The following is a 20737-nucleotide window of genomic DNA, read 5'->3' as shown; positions in this document are numbered from 1 at the left end:
ACCCTTCGGTATAGTAAAGGTTCTAAGAGGATTCATAGTATAGACAATCATTTACTTTTGTTTAATCCAGCACCCTTTTTTCTTTTTTTGAAACATTCATACTCAGTTTGGGAAATACTTCTTTATGTGAAATTCTTCAACTCTCAACTCAAACCATCTCTTGGAGATGCCCAAGACCAAGACTTTCTCAACATGTTCATGAGAACTTTGAGGGAAGAGTGAACATGTTACTTCTTAATCCCCCATCAGAACTCAGCACAATGTTTTATACAGTGGGTACTCTAAGAATAGATGAGTAAAATAAAATGTATTAGACACTTGTCCTTTTAAATTCAGTCATTTAACTACTGATACAAATCTTCTGGACCACTGATATATTTTAAACAAAGGCCGGGCACGGTGGCTCACACCTGTAATCCCAACATTTTGGGAGGCAGAGGCGGGCAGATGACCTGGGGTCAGAAGTTCAAGACCAGCCTGACCAACATGGAGAAACCCCGTCTCTACTAAAAATACAAAATAATTAGCCGGGCGTGGTGGCACATGCCTGTAATCCCAGCTACTCAGGAGGCTGAAGCAGGAGAATTGCTTGAACCCAGGACGCGGAGGTTGTGGTGAGCCAAGATCGCACCATTGCCCTCCAGCCTGGGTGACAAGAGCGAAACCCCGTATTGAATGAATAAATAAATAAATAAATAGTTTTAAAAAAAATAGTCTAAAACACACACAAACACACACACACACACACACACACACACACACACAGAGTGAATTGAGAATCCTAACCCTCACCTTGGAGTCTGCACATTACAGTGGTAGATGTATTCTGTCACAGTATCGTCTTCGAACATTGAAGAATACTTTCGTTTGAAATCAGGCCTTAAACGCTGCACTAGACTTAAACCTATTTAACAGGAAATTTAAAAAATGCATGTTTTAAATTATAGTTAACTTATCAACTAAATAATATAGAAAGTTTTAGTGCTTGTCTGTGTAATGAGTGTTATATGCACACATATATATATGTATTCAAATATATATTGTAGGTGGGAAAAAGCACACATTCTGATAGCTGTCCTCCTAAAGTTCCCCAAGGAAATATTAATATAAGAAGTAAAGAGTATTGTATTTTGACTTGCAGATGTACTTTAGGGCCTCAAAAACATGTAAGTTAGAAGGCACTTTTGTAGGTAAATAAATTCTTTAAACGTGGCGAGTAGCTCGTACGTAAAAATTAATGTAATAACTTGTATTTCTTCCATAATTATAACACATTAACTTCTAAATGAAGTAAACTGGTATACATAATTATTTCTGTGTGAAAATAAATTCAGCTTCTTCTTGGGACACTAGCGAGACTCCCTGCTAAGGTTATCCCTGGTGGCGCCCACAGCCCCACTCTAGAAAAAGCCGAGGACACCCAGGCGTGATGGCTCAAGCCTGTAATCCCAGCACTTTGGGAGACCGAGGTGGGCGGATCACAAGGTCAGGAGTTCGAGACCAGCCTGACCAACACGGTGAAACCCTGTCTCTACTAAAAATACAAAAATTAGCCGGGCGTGGTGGCGTGCACCTGTAATCCCAGCAACTCAGGAGGCTGAGGCAGGAGAATCACTTGAACCTGGGAGGTGGAGGTTGTAGTGAGCCAAGATCGCGCCACTGCACTCTAACCTGGGCGACAGAGCGAGACTCCGTCTCAAAAAAAAAAAAAAAGAAAAAAAGAAAGAAAGAAAGAAAAGAAAAGAAAAAGCCCAGGGCAAGGCCCACAAGGGAAAGAGGATGAAGAGCAGAAGCTTTCTTCTAGTCACACTTTTCTATTCTGAGGCCCCAGAGACTGACTGGTCTCCCTTTCTGCTACCACTACCCCATGACTCCAGCAAGGCTTTACTTCTCTACTGGCCCTCTCTTCCCATCTCTGATGAATTATACAGCTCCACCAAGAAATTCTGTCATGCAATTGATTCTACATCACCTCCCCACCCCCAAGTGCAAGCAATAATGGCAGGCTGAGGGCATGGCATTAAAGAGCCTCTCCTAGGTGTCCTCCCTTGCCCATCACTGTCTCCTAATTTCTCTTCATACTTTACTTTTCCCATAATTGTTATTTTTGTACCTGTGTTCTAGTAAAATCTATTTATATTTCAGGACTATAAAGACTAAATGAAGCTCTTAAGTAGTTTACCAGAGAAGGACCAGGCATAGTAAGGAGTGGCTCTACTGGGGAGGGCTGAAAGACTGCAGGTGGGCAAAATGTGCCATCTGTGAGCACTGAAGCAATAAAGTGTGGTCACCAATTCAACCCCCATATCCTCCTCTAAGTCCTGCAGTCCCACTGCTCTCCCAATCCAAACAGAAGGCACTAGGGCAGGAGGGGTCAGGGTTGGGCAGAAGGGAACAGCATTTACAGTCACCTGCATGACAGTTAATCCCACAACCTCCTCCACACCCCCATGCCTCTTCTCTTTTCTCACTAACAGAACCCATCTTTTCTTTTTTCTTTTCTTTTCCTTTTTTTTTTTTTTTTTTTTGAGACAGGGTCTTGCACTGTTGCCCAGGCTGGAGAATAGTGGTGCGATCTTGGCTCGCCACAACCTCCACCTCCCAGGTTTGAGTAATTCTCATGTCTCAGCCTCCTCTCCTGAGTAGCTGGGATTACAGGTGTGTGCCACTATGCCTGGCTAATTTTTTTGTATTTTTAGTAGAGATGGGGTTTTGTCATGTTGGCCGGGCTTGTCTCAAAGCCTGGCCTCAAGTGATCTGCCTACCTCAGCCTCCCAAAGTGCTGGTATTACAGGTGTGAGCCACAGCACCTGGTTAGAACGCATCTTTTCTATAGTATCAATTAGGCAGCAACATGCCCAGGAAAGCAGGCCCTGGAAACAAATCATGATTGGTGCATCACAGAAATTTCTTCTTTGCTGGTGGAAGGACTAGGAGTGGGCCGAGTCATAAGCAGAGGTCAGGTGGAGCCTTCCAGAGAGGACTTTCTTCCCTGACAAAGCATTATGGAGAGAAGGACCATTTTTCGTGCTTTTATTTCTTTTTGCTCAGGGCGCTGATTTGTGAGATGATGCTTAATGCTATGGCAGGCATCAAACCACCGTGAGGAAAAAAGTCAAGAAAATCACAGACACAGACCCAAACCCTAACATCAATGAGCAAGCAACCAGAACAAGTGCTAAAACCTATCTCCAGATTGCTTATTAAGGAAATAATAAAAGTCCTTCTAGTTTAAGCCTCTTGGGTATTCAGTTACTTACAACTAAAAGTACTCCAAATTCATACAAGTTGTACGGGGGAAAGGCAGAAGTTCAGAACATCATTATCTGTGACAATGAGGGAAGGAAATTCCCATGGCTATGGGGCTGAGACAGAACTGCTGAGAGTCAAATAAAAGTCAATCAGGGACTAAACACTGGTGCCTCAAAATATGACCAGAAATATATATCAGGAGTCCCCAAAATGTTGTGGAAAAAATAACTTTATCTTTCCAACACTCTGACATGGATAAGGGAAGAATCTGTGAGTGTGGTGGTACCTGTTATCCCCAGGGTCAATCAAATCAGGTTTTATGGTACCAAATGGTATCATCAATTGGCCAAACGCTCTCCAGTGCTCACCAGCAGGGCAACATGCTACACTTCTCCCAGGCCCTGGACTAGCAGAGGTCCTTATATACTCCCCAAAACACTCTGCTTGCCTGGCTTTTTTTAGAGTGTTGAGGACTGACTAACCTTATCCTCAGCATTCCCTCCTTTTCTGCTTTGCTAATTATTCACAATGTTTACAATATAAAGACTCTCCTTTGAGGAGAAGAACCTAGTTGCATTCGTCTTTGTGCAAGACATGGTACTTATTAGAGGAAGAGGAGAAAAAGTAAGGGTTCAGGGTTTTCTTGTTTGTTTTTAAGATTTTGACTAACAATAGTGAATTCTGCTCTTCTCATAACTTACAAACATTTTGCTTTCCTAGAACATAAGCACTCACCAAAGGGTCCTGCAATCCTTAGGCCAGCTAAAGGGTTAAAGGGAGTCAATGCTGCTCCCAAGGCTCTGATCCAAACTGGAATTGGTCTGTCTTGATCAGCAAGGTCTGGTCGTTCAGGGAAACCCCAAGGCTCCACTAAAATGAGATGATTAACCCTGTTGGGGGAAAGAATATATTTAAGTTCATTTGGTAAAATCACCCTAAGACTATAAAGAGCTAACATGATTTATAAAATAAAGGTAGAATGAACCACCTTCAAAAACCTTCACGTTAAAGATTAGTGCTAAATAGATCGTATCATGCTCTTATTCTGTGTAAACTTTTGAGATTCAGTAGGATCTAAGAGGTGTATGGTAGAAAGAGGGCTTTATTTTTAATATATCTAAATGTGAATAATAAAAGATATATAGAGTACAGAACTGTGTGTTTCTTGAGAAAAAGAAAAAAGGGCATTTGTTATTTAAGTTACACTCTGGCAGATGATGTAGATCACTGGCCACTCAGAAAAATCCAATGGTTCCATGTATGTCTAGGTTGACACTGCAAAAATGGCTAAAGATCAATATCACATTCTTATAAAATAGCCTCAGATACCAACAACAGTTATCTCCTATGAATCAACCATCCTAAAAATGTAAGTGAAGTTAAGGACTTAAAGCGGGTTCAAAAGTACTTTAAATTAACTTTTCATAAACATGAGGATAACGTAACGTGGACTGAAAACACTCCCTAGTTCAGGATTCTAGAATTGTTGAAAAGGAACAAGTCTATCTACCTTATCCATGATATCACGCTATACTGACATTAGATTCTGTTTTCAATTCTTTCCCAATTTTCTTTTTCATTGACCAAGAGATAGAAAATATTCAGTAGAACTTCATATACAATTATTTCATATTGTTAATCATTTTAATTTTTCCATCTTATGAAACTTCTTCCCAATGAAGGAAAACCAGAACTATCAGCAGTACTTCCACATAGCTGCATCATGCTTTAAACATCATAAAGATTCCAAACAAAGTACAAAGATCCTTCTGATACAATACAATGTTCAACTGTAACCAAGCCAGCCAAGAAATGCCAGCCAAAAATCTCCCAAGGATAACTGACAATGACTCTAAAGTCCCTTTCCTAAGTTATAACTGAAACAGAAAGGTAAAGAATCTAAAACATGGGCACAGATGGTATTATTCTTCATATAAAATCTATTCTATTATTGTTGTCAGCATGCATAAGAATAAGTTAGTAACAGGTCCATACTGTGACTGTTTTCTTTCCAGACAGAAAGCTTTGGTGCACAGAGCTCTATGGTACCTTGGAGAATATTGGGTGCAATCATCTTAGATAAGAAGGAAGCTGAGATGTACTACATGACCTGCTCCGGTACATAACATTAGTTAACACAGAACTAGGGCTGAAACCCACATTTCTCTACCCCAGCATACCAGCAGATGCCGACAAGGAATTGGGCAGAAGGCTTTATTTTCTAAAAATAGGCTAATCAACATAAGAGAGACATATTAGTAAAGGTAAAACTTAACCTTTATCAACTCTCAAGGCCAGTCCTAATATTATACTCCAAACTTCATAGCATTAACATATGTAGAATATAACCATAGAGATGTATGAAGATATGTGATAAATGAGTTTCATTTAATTATGAAGTATGCCTTCACAGCCTAAAAATTTCATATGAGAACATTTTCTAATAGTGTATCAGAAAGAGGTTAGAAATGAGTGTTTTGCTTTGTTTTTTAATGGCAAAGACTAACTCTTATATTTTGACCACCTCCTAAATTCCTTTTTATTTTTATTTGTTTTGAGATGGAGTCTCACTCTGTCGCCCAGGCTGGAGTGCAGTGACACAATCTCAGTTCACTTCAACCTCCGCCTCCCAGGTTCAAGTGATTCTCCTGCCTCAGTCTCCTGAGTAGCTGGGATTACAGGCACACACTACCACGCCTGGCTAATTTTTGTATTTTTAGTAGAGATGGGGTTTTACCATGTTGCTCAGGCTGGTCTCGAACTCCTGACCTCGTGATCTGCCCACCTTGGCCTCCCACAGTGCTGGGATTATGGGCCTGAGCCACTGTGCCCGGCCCTAAATTCCTTTAATTATAGCCCACAATAAGATCTGGGGTAGGGGAAGGAAGAGGCCTAACAGGGGTATGAGTAGAACTAATGAGACAGCCACCTAGTTGAAAGCAGCAAAGATTCATGTTAAGAAACAGCCACTATTATTCACTACTGACTTATCTCCCAAAGAGAAAAATGAACTCTTTATTAAAACATACCCTACCCTAAACAATTTAGTTAAATTTTTGTCACAAATTTGTTAATGGATCTTGCTCTAAGCTCTTTCTGACCTGCTAACCCAAAAACAGGTAGGACAAAGGAAAACTTGACAGAAGTCTCATCTGTCTGTAGGTAAGTGACTGTTTTTGCCTTAGTTCTGGCTTGCCTTTTAAATATGATCTTCAAAATTTCATCCCTAGGTGAAAATGCCAGTTTAACAAATTATGCAAAGTATATATACTAAGGCAGATGATCTTTTTGTTTCTTTTTGAAAAGGAGTGAACCGTGCCTACAATTGCTCAATTCTACTGTCCCTACAATTGCTCAATTCTACTGTCCCTACAATTGCTCAATTCTATGTCTTCATAACCTAGCATGAGGCTTAGCACATGGCAGATGCTTGGTAAACATTTGGATTAATATGCTTTTCCACATTTTCTTTTAGTCCTAGTCTATTAAGGATATACAAATTTTATAAAGTATAATCATAGCATAAGCATATCCAGCTGGATTTTTCTGGTCCCCCAGATGACATCAGAACATCACTGCTATTTATTAATCTTATTATTCGGTAACAAAATCCATTTAGATGGTCAAGAACCAGTCTAGTCTTTTTTAAAATAAAATTATACTGTTTGGAACAGAAAAATAAATCATAAGCATTGAATACCGGCCACAAAATTGTATTAATGTATATGTGCATGGGTGTCTGAAACAAGTTTTGTGGGGTGATACAATTGTATTTTTCTATTCCAAACAATATAGAAGGGCTATAGTAAAAAAAGTTTGAACATAATTTTTTAAAACTCTACAACATCTAAACTATAGTTAACTGTAGTTATATATCATCTGCTTCTACTACATGTAAAGACCCCAGAAAATAATTGTTCCTTATTTTTGGTTTTAAGAATTTTAAATAAGATAGACCATGCAAAGCACTCAGGTTGGTGGCCATCGAATAGTAAGTATTCAGTAAATGTAAGCTAGTTACAGTAGCAAGAATAGGAAGACTACAAGAGTAGAATTTATTCCCGGGAACATGGAAAGACAGGTATTTATTCTTCAGAAGAGCTTGATCACAGGTGACTGCAATGTTGCACCAGACCAAGGTCCCAGGCTATCTTCTAACCTCCGCTTTTAGTAAAAATATTATCTCCTCACTTGATAGGAGTTACTGGGTTTTAATGTACATCTAAATTATTATAATTAGCTAAACCCTACTCTTTAATATTCCAGAGAGGGTTCCCTGCTGGGATTGTTAGTTCACATCTAGGGTAAAGAATGGGTCCAACCAGATAGCACATGTGAGTCATCCTATTAGACATCCTTGTCAAGAACCAGAGACTGGTTTAAACCACAAGAAAAACAAAGAACCAGCAGAGCAGGAACAACAGAACAGCTCATCAGTTTTGAAATATACAAAGGCATTCTTCTTAATGTTAGTCATTAGAATTGGCCTTGAGTTTGAAGATGGTGAGCAGAGTACATCCTTAAGGGCAAAGCAGTGGACAACACCTGTACCAACACACTAGGACCTGATTTCACTTGCTCTAAATGCTAACAAGGGTAGATAAGCCTGACCTTCATGAGATTTAAAGACAGCCACCAGTCAGAAATAATGCAACAAGAACAATAATCAGGTCAGGCGTGGTAGCTCATGCCTGTAATCCCAACACCTTGGGAGGCCAAGGCAGGTGGATCACTTGAGGCAAGAGGTTCAAGATTAACCTGGCCAACACGGCGAAACCCTGTCTCTACAAAAAATACAAAAAAATAGCCAGACATGGTGGTGCACACCTGTAATCCCAGCTACTCGGGAAGCTGAGGCACGAGAATCACTTGAACCCAGGAGGCGGAGGTTGCAGTGAGCCGAGATGGTGCCACTGCACTGCAGCCAGGGCAACAGAGCAAGACACTGTCTCGGGGGAAAAAAAAAGAAAGGAGAACAATTAGACCTAGAATCAAAATGTGTAAGTGAATCTAAGGAAAATAATCAGAAAGAACTCTAGTCAATGCACAAAGGAGGCATTTGCAAAATGAAGTTGGCCCCAGGTATTTCCCATTGGCTCCAAGCCATTGGTGAGAGAAAAGGGAATGCCCAGAGAACAACAAACTAAATATCTCCAACTTCGAATCAAGTAGAACAGCTTTTCCTAGAACAGCAGAGGGCCAACAAAAATTGCTCAGCTCAGTTCTGTACAATCAGAAGACAGAGCCAGGCAAAAGAAAAGTATTCAAGATAAAATTATTTAAAAACCTTTTACTAGAGAAATAAAGACTAGTGAAAACTTATTCTAATCTAACTTGGAATAGATCTCTTTGCTAAACACTTTCTAAGTTAAAGTTTCTATAATCTCCTTTTCCGTAGTTTATAACAAATATCTTTAAAATACAGATAGTTTTTTTAATGGGGTACTGAGCAGCAGGGGCCAGAAGGAAAGGAAAATTAAAAGAAAAAACCGGGCCAGGTGCAGTGGCTCACGCCTGTAATCCAAAAGTTGGCAAAAATTGATCAGCTTTTATTTGTTCTTTAGAGTAAGAATCCTTCTTAAACAAGTGCATTAAACTAGGCCTTTTCATTCTTCTCTTCAAACTGTCCTATAAAAGTAACGAATGGAAGAATGGAGCTGCCCATAAAAGACAAGGACTGAAGTAGTTATGGCTTGGAACACTAAGTCCCAACAAATAAAACAACGTTGTTTTTGTGTTTTTTCCCTCCATGCATAAAACGGAAAGTAAGGAGCTGTCATTTTACTTAAAAGAAAAAAATAAAGATTATATTTGCAACACCTGAGGAAGCAAAGAATAAAATAACATTATCAGCTGAGCACGGTGTCTCATGCCTGTAATCCCGGCAGTTTTGGAGGCAGGAGGATCATTCGAGGCCAGGAGTTTGACATTGGCCTGGGCAACAAAGTGAAACCCCCATCTCTACACAAAACTTTAAAAATTACCCAGGCATGGTGGCACACCTGTAGTACTAGCTACACGGGAGGTTTGTTGAGTGTAAGAGGTCAAGGCTGCAGTGAGCTATGATTGCGCCACTGCACTCCAAACTGTGCAACAGAGTAAGACCCCATCTCTAAGAAAAAAAAAAAAGGTAACATTCTCAAAGTCCATTATCGAAAAAAGAGAGAGAGACAAAAGAGGCACAGTGAGTGTAAGAAAAGATCTGAATTTCATTTGATCTCCAGACCACTTTTTCCCTCCTCTTACCGCTCCCCCCACGCCCACCAAAAGTCTTTCTGAAACTCAAAGATTCATTTGAATATCATGACAGCATAATAAAAATGCTACTGGATCAAAAGCAAGCTGGATGAGCACGAGTATGTAGTTCAGTACCTGTTTGTTGATACCAAGCGGACTGCTCTATTGCACCAGAGAAAACGTGTGTGTGCTGCAAAGAAGCTTCTCCAGCTTAGGTGAAACATTCCACATCACACAGAAGGCAACCCTGACAACCACCCCATCTGCTTAGTGGGAATGCCAACTTCAAGACACACCAAACACTAAACATAACTTAATATGAGGTTTGCTATAATGGTGAACACTTAACAGTACTCAGTCCTGTTTAATCCTGTTTAATGTTTGGATCTGTGAGTCTATCGAACTATATTAACTATCAGATCATCTATGTAAATTTGTACAAATTTGCCCAACCAGGACCAAGCAGAAAAAAATTCTTTTTAATAAAAAGTTAACAAATATGAGCAACATTATTAGTAATATAAATAAACGTGGACAGCAAGACCAAAGGGCACCAAAGGAGACGATGCACCTTGCAGAAAAGACAAGAGATACTCATTTTTCCCTGTCCTCTCCATTTAAAGAGAAGTGCTTCCAGGGAAGCCATCCTGAAAAGCAATGAAGGAAAAAAGCTAGGGAGAAGGGGAAGCCCGTGAGATTGTTAATTCCAGTCTTCCTATATTATATGCTACAATGGGGTATTATCTGGTCTATTAGAACAGGGAAAAAGTAAACTATAAAATTTTACTTTTATTTAGTAGATTTAACACACTTCTAAACTAACTAAAGTTGTTGGTTTAAATGGCTGGTCAATTTGCTTAATTCTGTAAAATATTCATGTATGTTATGTATATACGTGTGTGTGTGTAAATGTTAGAAGAAACATTCTCACTAATACCTTTCTCTCACACATACACACAGAATGATCTCTTTATTTCCACGGTAACTTGTTTTTATGCTATACTAACTCAAGATGTAGACTAACTGGGCAAAAGGCATAAAACTGAAATCTTTGCCTGCTTATGCTTGCATATCTGAAACTAATTTTTCTCCCAAAAATAAATTAGAAAGATATGACATGACCAGCTCTTATCTCTTGATACTTCTATGCAAAATGCAAAGAGAAGAACAGAGAAAAGAACATAAAATTGTTAGCTAAAAGGTGAACTTAGCTTATAATTCTCTTTTTCAAAATCACCTATTCAAGAAATATTTACTAGGCAGCCACTATGTGCCAACCATGGTGTTCTGACTGACTGGACATAATCATGATTTGAGATATCTGAAAATCCAGAAAACATCATTATTTTGAAATTAACCTGTATTTAATAATTTAAGTTTTATGCAGTTAAGAATATAAGCTTGAATATTCAATACACTCTGTACAGTTCAAAATTTTGTTGGCAACCAGCCAAATTTAGACAGGCTAATTATTTCAAGCATTCTCATATCCATCTACTGCTACTACTTATGATTCTTGGTCCTGAGACAGTACTCTAGTTTTATTTCTAGCATTAGACACAAACATTCAAAAACCATTTTCTAAAATATTATTAGTCCAATGCAGGAATCACTAGCTTTGTTTTTAGATACCTTTTGCTATTCTCTTTTATAATGTTTTTAAAGTGTTGATTCCCTTCTGAATCCCTGAAGCCCCCTATTTCTTTAGAGCAGTTCACAATTGCAAATGAAACTCTTGCCAACTGACCTTATCAGTAGAGAGCTATGAAGGGTCAGGATTCTAAGACTTAGGGTTTAATGACCAAGGTCTAGCCTGCAGAGTTCCATGTCACATCTTCAGAGAATAAATACCACAAGACAGACACAGACATAATACATACCTGATAAAAAACAAAGGAAGTTCAACTCCCACAAATAGCCCTGTTGACTTGTACCAGAAAAGCATCTACTTCCTTCTCCTTTCACCATAAATGCAAATAGGTGTTTGTCACTAAGAGTAGGACACAATAAAAGAAAGTAACACCAGCGGGTGCGGTGGCTCATGCCTGTAATCCCAACACTTTGGGAGGCCAAGGCAGGCGGATCTCCTGAGGTCAAGAGTTTGAGACCAGCCTGGCCAACATGGTGAAACCCTGTCTCTACTAAAAATACAAAAATTAGCCAGTGTGGTGGCGGGCTCCTGTAATCCCAACTACTCGGGAGGCTGAGGCAGGAGAATTGCTTGAACCTGGGAGACGGAGGTTGCGGTGAGCCGAGATACCGCGCCACTGCACTCCAGCCTGGGCGACCGAGTGAGACTCCGGCTCAAAAAAAAAAAAAAAAAAAAAAGAAAATAAAGAAAGTAACCCCAAAATGCCAACCAGGAGAAGAAAATTTGCATTTCTTTTTAAAGAACAGGTCCGCCAGTTGACAGGACTATTATTGTCTAGCACATATAGGACCATGAGATCAGAAAAATCAGGTGTAAATGCTAAAGTTTAGATAAAGAGTCTATAGAGAAAAAGTGGCTGTTCCAGAGGAAGAGAACCTCAGGTACACAGGGCTGCTGCTTCACACATCAAATTCTGTGTTGAACACACACCCAGAGTTATGCAATGGGGAGATCTTATAGGTACATACAGGCACTCTGAAATGACCATCATCCCATGTCTCACTCACGGACCTCAAAGTCAAAATCAGTTGCAATTTTGGATTTAAAAATCAGTCCAATGGAAAAATACACTGGCAACACAAAAATGCTGTATTCATTTTTTGTTGTTTCTTTCCAAAAGATGATCAAAACAAAGATGAGTTTTTCTCCTGTTTTCTTAGCACTTAAATGTGACCCTCTCTCAGAGTAGTAACATGAATGACAGTAAATAGCATTTAAAAATAACGTAAAGGGGCTGGGTGCAGTGGCTCAGGTCTGTCATCCCAGCACTTTGGGAGGCCGAGGGGGGTGGATCACTTGAGGTCAGGAGTTTGAGACCAGCCTGGCGAACATGGCGAAACCCCATCTCTACTAAAACTACAAAAATTAGCTGAGTGTGGTGGCATGCACCTGTAGTCACAGCTATTCAAAGGCTGAGGCAGAAGAATTGCTTGGGCCTGGGAGGCGGAGGCTGCAGTGAGCCGAGATCATGTCACTGCACTCCAGCCTGGGTGACAGAGCGAGCTTCTATCTCTTAAAAAAAAAAAAAGTTAAAGAAAGGAGATGATGCTAGAAAGACTTTGAAGCAAATGTTCATTAATTCAATGTTTTATAATGAGAAAGGTTAGGGTATGGTATAATAAAAAACCCTGGGATATATGCTATGAAGTTGTATTTTCTATAGTTTAGGTAAAAGAAAACTAAAGGTTAGAGGTTAAGTGATTTGCTCTAAGTCATAGAGCTAGCACTAGTACCTACATCTTCTAACCTTCTGGTTTCCCCTTACAGCTTACTATAACTTAGAAAACATTAGACGAAGCCTGCTGGATTCATAGGTTTAATGATAATAATAATAAATAATTTTTACTTGTGGCTTAAAATTATACATTAAAGTTTCTACAATTCTAAGCTTAACAAATAGAAACCCCTTTCCCAAGCCTATTAACATGTAGTACGTGTAATAGGAAGATCTGACATGATTATTTCAGCTACTATATTGGTCATCAGTTGTGGTGTGGTCTATAGGGTCCTTTAAGAGAATGTCTGCCTTGTGGCTCAGACACTAACAACCACCAAAGATGGGAACTAGAGTCTGGTACTTGGAAGCACAGTTATAATCCCTCTCTTCTGTCACCACCACTTACCTTGATGGGTACTTCAGCGAGTAAGCAGCAGCCAAGAATCCACCTAGGTTGTGCCCAAGCAAGATCATTTTGTCCAATCCTAGGGCACATCTCCACTCTTCAATGGATTCCACAAACTGATTCTCCACTTCTTCTGCATCACTGTCAAACCTGGGTCTACTACTTCGTCCAAAACCCAATAGGTCAAAAGCATAGACAGGTCTGTTGGTGCAAAGATCTCCAAAATTCAGTGCCCAGAGCCCAAGACCTCCTCCAAAACCATGGAGAAGGACAAGTGGAGTCTTATTTGAAATATTATGAGAGAACTTCAGTGTCCATATTTTATTTCCATTAGATATACGAACAGGTTCTTTTTTGTATGTGCAAGGCACACCTAATGAAAACATAAAAGAGAAATTCTGTTTCATTTTATTACTTCTGAGAAGGGAAGTATTCTCAGAGCAACCAAAAATTACAAATCATCTAGTATCCAATCTCATGATTTTAGCTTGTATTGTCAGCTATTTTTAAAAAGTACACATTTTATTGAAGTAAATAATCCTAAATGACCATGTTTTACACCTAAAGGGGAAGACCTACCTCAGACAAACCTCAAGTAACCTGTGATCAAGGTCTTTGGCAAGTCATATTACCTTCTAACTTCTTTCCACATCTGTCAAATGAGGGTATTATACTCCTAGAAGTGAAAAGGAACTTAGTGGTTACCGAACCCATTATTTTAAGGTCTCTAGCTTTGCAGAGAATTTGTAGAATACTGTCAGGTGTTCTACAATTTCAAGGTGGTATTCTTTGGTTAACTTTGAGTTGAAGTCAGGCTTAAAGGCATCATTTTTCCTTAAAAAGTAGTCATGAATTTAGGGAAGGATTACTGGTATCTATGTTAAACATGTAAGTGAAACCTTAAGTCATTTCAAAAAAAGGTTGACAAAGTATTGTAGGAACTCCTCAGCATGACACACCAGGTAACTTGGGTCCAACTCTAGTAATCTCCTAGAAAAAGCAAATAGTCACAATTTTATAGACCAAAACTCTTTTTTACCTTTAATGTTGTGGAACTAAATACTTTAAACACTCCCAAAAATTGCCTAAAAATGAAATTAAATTTGAAATCATTTATATTTAACTATCAACTGAACAGCTGCATTTTTGATATACCCCTTAATTATTTATGCATATTCATATACAGTAAACAAGACACTGAAGAAACAGGAGTTTCTGCCTTTTAACCAAAGAAATAATATCATGTTTTGTATCCACATAGTGGCAGCAAAGAAGAAACCTAACATTCATTCAGAATATTAATGGAGCACAAGCCCTCAAGTTGGGGGAAATACCACTAGTTTAGAAAAGGGGCTGCTTTGGCTTAAGTGCCAAGCCAAACCACTTCAGCATTTTGAACACATACGTCTGTGTATTCCCATAAAAACCATCTGTATAACTATTAGAGAACTCACTCCACCGTAGCTTACTTTCATGTCTGACACTAAAGCAGAGACCAATTCACATTCCTATTTGCATCCCTAGAACCAAAAGGAAGGGAATCATTATGTCTGTTAAATGCATGAATTGAGAATCTAGCACCCCTTTTTTACCTCCTGATAAGAATTTTTTTATTTTGGTAAATCACAATGACATCTTTCTTAGTTTTGTAGAGAGCAAGTTTACCCAAGTATATGGAATAGAAGTTCATTATCATGTTAAAAATCCATGTAATAACTGGGCGTGGTAGCTCATGCCTGTAATCCCAGCACTTTGGGAGGCCGAGGCAGGTGGATCACCTGAGGTCAGGAGTTCAAGACTAGCCTGGTCAACATGGCGAAACCCCATCTCTACTAAAAATACAAAAATTAGCTGGGTATGGTGGCAGGTGCCTGTAATCCCAGCTACTTGGGAGGCTGAGGCAGGAGAATTGCTTGAACCCAGGAGGCAGAGGTTGCAGTGAGCTGAGATTGTGCCACTGCACTCCAGCTTGGGTAACAGAGCAAGGCTCCATCTCAAAAAAAAAAAAAAATTCATGAAAGATGGCTAATTATCCCTTCCTAAGGATATATCCAGTTATGGTCACTTACTCCTGAATCATTCAAATGCACAAACAAATTCATTAGTGGTAAAGAGAATGAAAAACAGGCATGTACAAACATCTGCACCTACATACAAAAATAACACATGAATATGAATGGTACTACCTAATCCACTCCTTTAAGTAGAATCAGCAGAACAAAATTGCACAATAAGTACCACTACTTAGAACTACACCCACAGATACCTTGGAATGCCCTGATGGTACAAGTTTGGGTAAATTTTAGTGCTCATAAGAAGGAAAAAAAAGGGGCTTCCACACCACTATAAATATAGAATCCTAGAATGCTAGAACTAGAAGGAATTCTATGGACCCATTCATTTTATAAGAATCCTACCCCTTCATTTTATAAGAAATGAGAAGCTGAGCAAAGTGACTTGTCCAAGATCTTGTAACCACCTAGTGGCAGATCTGGGCCTAGACCAAGTTACCTGGGTCCAGTCTAGTACTTCCACTATACAAGGCTGCTTGCTCTGAAACACCTAGAATCTGTTCTCAAAGCATAGTCTCAAGCAGAGTCAGGGGGGGTGTCCCTGAGACTCTTCGAGGAGATCCAGGAAGTCAAAACTATTTTCATCATAATACTAAGACTTTCTATTTTTCACTCTCATTCTCTAATAGGTATAAAGTAGTCTTCCAGAAGTCACATATGTGATTACCCATCAGACTGAAAGCAGAAGCAGCAACCTTATGTCAAGCTAGACATTAAAGACATTTGTAAACATGTAAACAATGTTTGGAAAGTATTTTTTTTCTTTTTTTGGTACAAATTTTATTTATTTTAATCTGTAATGGGTTTACTATTATTTTTAAAGAAATTAATAAATTAACATTTTTGATTATTCAATTTTAATTTCTAATTGTATTAGAAATGATAAATATTGATAATAAGCCCATAAACAAATCTCCTTGGGGTCCTTACTAATTTAAGAGTATAACAGGGGCCCAAGACCAAAAAGTTTTAGAACTCCTACCTGCCAGCCCCCGACATTCATTTCTGTACTTTCTAATGACAAGGAAAAGGAAAAAAGTTATTTTGCCAACAATGAACACACCACAGAATCTTACCTCCAGTTTCAGGGCAATGAGATATATTGGACCTATCTTAGTACACAGCTCATTTAACTTACAAGAAGAAAGCCTTACATTTTAACATCTTCTCTTCAGCTTCTTTAAGGTGTGATATAGACGTAGGGCACCATGTGGGGAGCCAACCAGTTAGCCATCCTGACCTAGAGCACCAAAAACAAAATAACAAATAGGTGAGTTCATGCTCTTCTCAACTACCAATTGTCACATGCACAGAAGAAAGGCAGCACAGGAAATTTACTACCTGTGTGATGGTAAAGCTATGTGTGACAAAAGTGACCTAACATGCACAAAGCATGGTGGTAAGTACTGGGATACAGATATTCAACTTCAGCCTGTGTACTTACAAGTAGATCTCAAAGTCCATCTTATTCATGGATAGTCAGATTCCAAATAAGCAAAAAGAGGATAAAATGGGAAGAACAAGAAAACACAAAAAATGCATTCCTCCCCACTGCAAGACAGCCTCTTATTGGGGTAGAAGTGCAAAAAAAGTTAAAGACCAGGAGTAGATTCATTTGAATGACAGTTTCACAGTGAATATAAAAGGTACCTCTATGGGGGTTGAGAAAAGGGGCACCTTATTAAAATCTGAGATCGACCATTTTTTGGGGAAAAAGAAGGCTTCAAATCTCATATGAGTAGTAACATACCCCTAACACAAATGTGGGAGGCTGGTCTGCGTACAATCTCCTTAGGGTGAACTGGTTAACTGTTAATAGAAGTACAAAAAAGCTTTGGGTTTCAGCAAACAGTAGATGAACAGAACGACCAAAGCATCCATCAGAAGACAGCACAACAAAGAACAAGGAAGCAGATCTGAGGCAGCTAGTGAGGAAAGGCATGGGGAGGCTGCAGTTGACATACTTTGCTTGTAGCCAACAAAAGAGAGGGTAAGCCTCAACTCCTGGCCTGGCAGTCACAAACCAAAAGCTTACTGTAATAACCTGACATAATGCAGAGCTTCAGTAGTCATTTGACAGTTAGCAAGGGCTCGGTGCATGGCTGGTATTATTTAAAATGAGAACTTTCTGATGAAAAAGAAATGAATTAGAAGAGGAAAAGTGAACTACTGCAGAGTCCAGATGAGAGGTAAGGGCCCAATCCAAGGCTTTGGCAACAGGGATAGAGACAAGAAGATGTAGTCAAAGAATATTTAAAAGGAAAACAGGTTGGATTTGATAACTGGTTGGAGATAAAGAAGTTATAATAAGGATTCCCAGGCGTCTCTCTTAGGTTACCACTATAATGACAGACAACACAAGAGTAAGAATAGGTGTGAGAGGAAAATGTGCTAAGTTTTGGAAGGGTTGTGTACCAACATCTAGCTTTTCTTACCTTTGTAGGTTCATCCTACTATATTTCCCTTCCCTGTAGAATTTATCTGGATATTACGTATAACAGGTACTCAATCAATAATGTTTGCTGAGTGATTAAGTCACTCACAATCCAGGGGATTCTCAGTCCAAATTATCCCCATTTCATAGATGTAAAAACTGAAGTTCAGAAATGTTAAGCACCAAGTCCAAGGGTATACAGCTAGTAAGTAAGTAAGTTTGATTCTGAGCCACTCCAAAGTGCTTTTTTCTCAAATGACTACCTTCCTTAAAATGTCTGAAGGGTTGCCCATTACCTACAGGATAAGTCTATATTTTCCTGGACCTGCACAGAAGGTACTTTGCAATCCATCCACAGCCTACCTCCATCCCATCTTTTCTTTTCATATATTGTACTTTTTCCAGTACTTCATATCTCTCAAAATTTCATATGATTACATGTCTCTATGGCTTTGCACAGCTCTTATAAATTACCCAGTCTCAGGTAGTTCTTTATAGCAGCATGAGAATGGACTAATACACAGGCCATTAAAATAAAAGAACTCATGATTTTTAGAGGTTAAAGGTGAAGCTCTTTTGTCCTTGACCAGCCATTAGGTCTATATTTAACCATAAAAATATGAACTAGTACCAACAAGAAATTACTTACAACTCAATCTCATCCATTGTCTTAAACAAACATCCCTCGAACCATATCACAATTATTTGCCAGAGAGAATCAGAGGTCAATTAAAAAAAATTACAGTGAAATGAAGTATAAGCTACTATTGCTCCAGTTGATATCACAGACAAACTGGGGCAAAGAAAACACAAATGCATTCTTTGCATTAAAAAAGGATACTTTTTTAAAAAACGACACTCAAAAAATAATTCAGACACTGAATACCTACTATGTACAAAGCACCAGTGTTTAAAAAGTTACATACCAGCCTGTAATGGAAGAATCATGCCTACCTCCACCAACTTACCACTTACCACAAAACCAGCTTTCAAACAATGGGACTGTCTGTCCATGGATTTGCCTTCTAGTGACCAGCTCAACTCAGAGAAGGGGCAAAACATGTTTTCATGTTTGTAAGCTTACATTAAAAAGTAGGGATCTTCAACCATAAGAAGAGGCACCAACTCTCTTCAGGTTTTCACAGAAGCATTTTCATCAAAACAGGTGATTTTTTAAAGTGGGTTTTTTTCTAACAGAAAAATATATATTTAACAAAACATAGCAAGATATTTTTACTCTTAATGGAATTGTAAAGATAGCACTCTTCCCCTAAGCCCTGATAATGCTTCTGTCCAGTTTCACTTTAACCAGATGATTAAATGTTTTACAGAAACTATCCTCTGCTTCTTTGAGACACTCTACAGGATTAAGTGTTATATACATAATAGGCTTCAAGGAACATTTCCAATGAGTAAAAAGCAAGGGCCTTATCTTTTCCACCCTTTAGTTGATTCCTGTTTGTTCAAAGGTCTCATACCTTACCTTGCAACCTCTATTGCTTCAACCCTTTAAAACTTACCCATCCAACTCTACCTCCTGTCTTCGGGATAAATTAATCTCACCTTCAAAGAGACCCTTTGCCCCCTCCCCAGTGGTATCCTATGCCATTCAGTGTTGCTCAGCATTCCTAGGTTTAGTATATAGAAGACTGGAACTAAGGACACAGGACTGAAGCTTGTCAGATATTCTGCCATTCTTCTGAGGTCACAAAATTCAAGGCAAAAATTAAATTCACACAGCCCACCTATAAAACAGTAAACTAGATTCAATGCCTCTTCCTCATAGCTTTGGAAAATAAATAGAAAAGCAAAACCTAACTTCTCTATTTTATTTAAGGAGACAAGCAATAAACACTATCATCCATCACTGAGGCCTAAATTCAACAGTGACCAAAGTGTCAACTGTAATACAAAGAGAAGTCATTCACCACAGGAACTATAGCTTTCTAATAGTAAGCATCTATGACATGGGGAAAGCTTACCAATGCAAGCCAAAAAGTTTTCTACACAGCCCCATCAGTTGGGCACTTACCTTATTAGCAAGGCAAAGGATATAAGCCCTAAAGCATCTAATCACAGAAACAAAAACAAAAAAAGAAAGGATTCTTGTTTTACAACCATTGTAGTGCAAACTAAGAATCTTTTTAGTGAGCAGACTTTTGAGTAAGAAAAGTTATAAAAGATCACATCAGAGGTGACAATTCTAAGGAAAGCCAAGTAAGATGTGCTTAACATATTAATAGAGTATATTTTACCTAAGAATCTGACTTTAAGTATCCTGAGTGAGAGATAGACACCACTTTTTCCATTAACTTTTTACGTAATCCTTCTAAAAAAATATTATGTCATACTTATACTCCATACTATCAACACTTAAGTTTCCTGGTAATCTCTGTTTTGTTCTTTAACACATCTGTCTATCTACAGTATTACTAAACCTGAATTGCACAATCTATAAACATTATGAAACAGTGAAAGAGGTTTCGAAGTATTCTGAAGAAAATATGCAGAAATCTGGCCAGTTTCCATACACTCTTGGCCACTTAATATTTCTAATTAGGTTATAAGTAAAGAGGATTTCATTATATTAAAATTTTGTTTAAAATGGCCTCCATTCCTATTCTAGTAGTTGAGAGAGAAAAATCACATAAACTTATTGCTCTTGATAAACCTAAGCACAGCTCTCTATCTCATTTAAAGAAACCATGAGGCTTTGATTTTTATTATAAATATCCAAATGAATTACAGGTATGAATATATACATTTATTTATATTTACATTTATATTTATCTGAGATACTTCCTCAACCAATGACTAAAAACATCCAAATTGGAAATTATAACACTTGGGTAAATAAAGACCTTTCTTGGGAATTGACTTTTTAAATCCTATTCTTGGGAAAGAGAAAAAGAAAAGAAAAAAGCGTACTTTGGGAGGCTGAGGTGGGAGGATTGCTTGAGCTCAGTCA

The 20737-nt window shown here is 38.5% G+C and overlaps 1 protein-coding gene across 9 annotated transcripts in view, besides 1 other annotated feature; it reads right to left on the bottom strand.

The window, feature by feature from the left end:
- The window catches only part of ABHD5 (abhydrolase domain containing 5, lysophosphatidic acid acyltransferase), a 43502-nt gene that overhangs the window by 18521 nt on the left and 4244 nt on the right, over positions 1–20737 (bottom strand). For 8 of the 9 annotated variants that reach the window (XR_007095689.1, XR_007095691.1, XR_007095690.1 and 5 more), the window contains exons 2-5: positions 16490–16575; positions 13264–13636; positions 3988–4142; positions 793–904 (exon numbers count right to left, since the gene is read on the bottom strand). Coding sequence is in view for 5 of the 9 variants with exons in the window: in XM_047448243.1 (XP_047304199.1) it covers positions 793–904; positions 3988–4142; positions 13264–13636; positions 16490–16575 (726 nt within the window). In the remaining 4 variants the exon portion in view is untranslated. The remainder of the gene's footprint in view (positions 1–792; positions 905–3987; positions 4143–13263; positions 13637–16489; positions 16576–20737) is intronic. The other variant, NR_158560.1, reaches the window with a different exon arrangement.
- Positions 12509–12653: a silencer, noted in NCBI's record as "fragment chr3:43744690-43744834 (GRCh37/hg19 assembly coordinates)". NCBI's record gives its function as "represses an EF-1alpha promoter that drives an FKBP-Casp9 reporter gene in an ReSE screen in phorbol 12-myristate 13-acetate-treated (for megakaryocytic differentiation) K562 erythroleukemia cells {active_cell/tissue: K562(+PMA)}" and the evidence as "EXISTENCE:reporter gene assay evidence [ECO:0000049][PMID:32094911]".

Source organism: Homo sapiens, chromosome 3 (assembly GCF_000001405.40).
Source record: "Homo sapiens chromosome 3, GRCh38.p14 Primary Assembly".
Classification (NCBI taxonomy): domain Eukaryota; kingdom Metazoa; phylum Chordata; class Mammalia; order Primates; family Hominidae; genus Homo; species Homo sapiens.
This window is presented reverse-complemented; position numbering and strand designations above follow the sequence as displayed.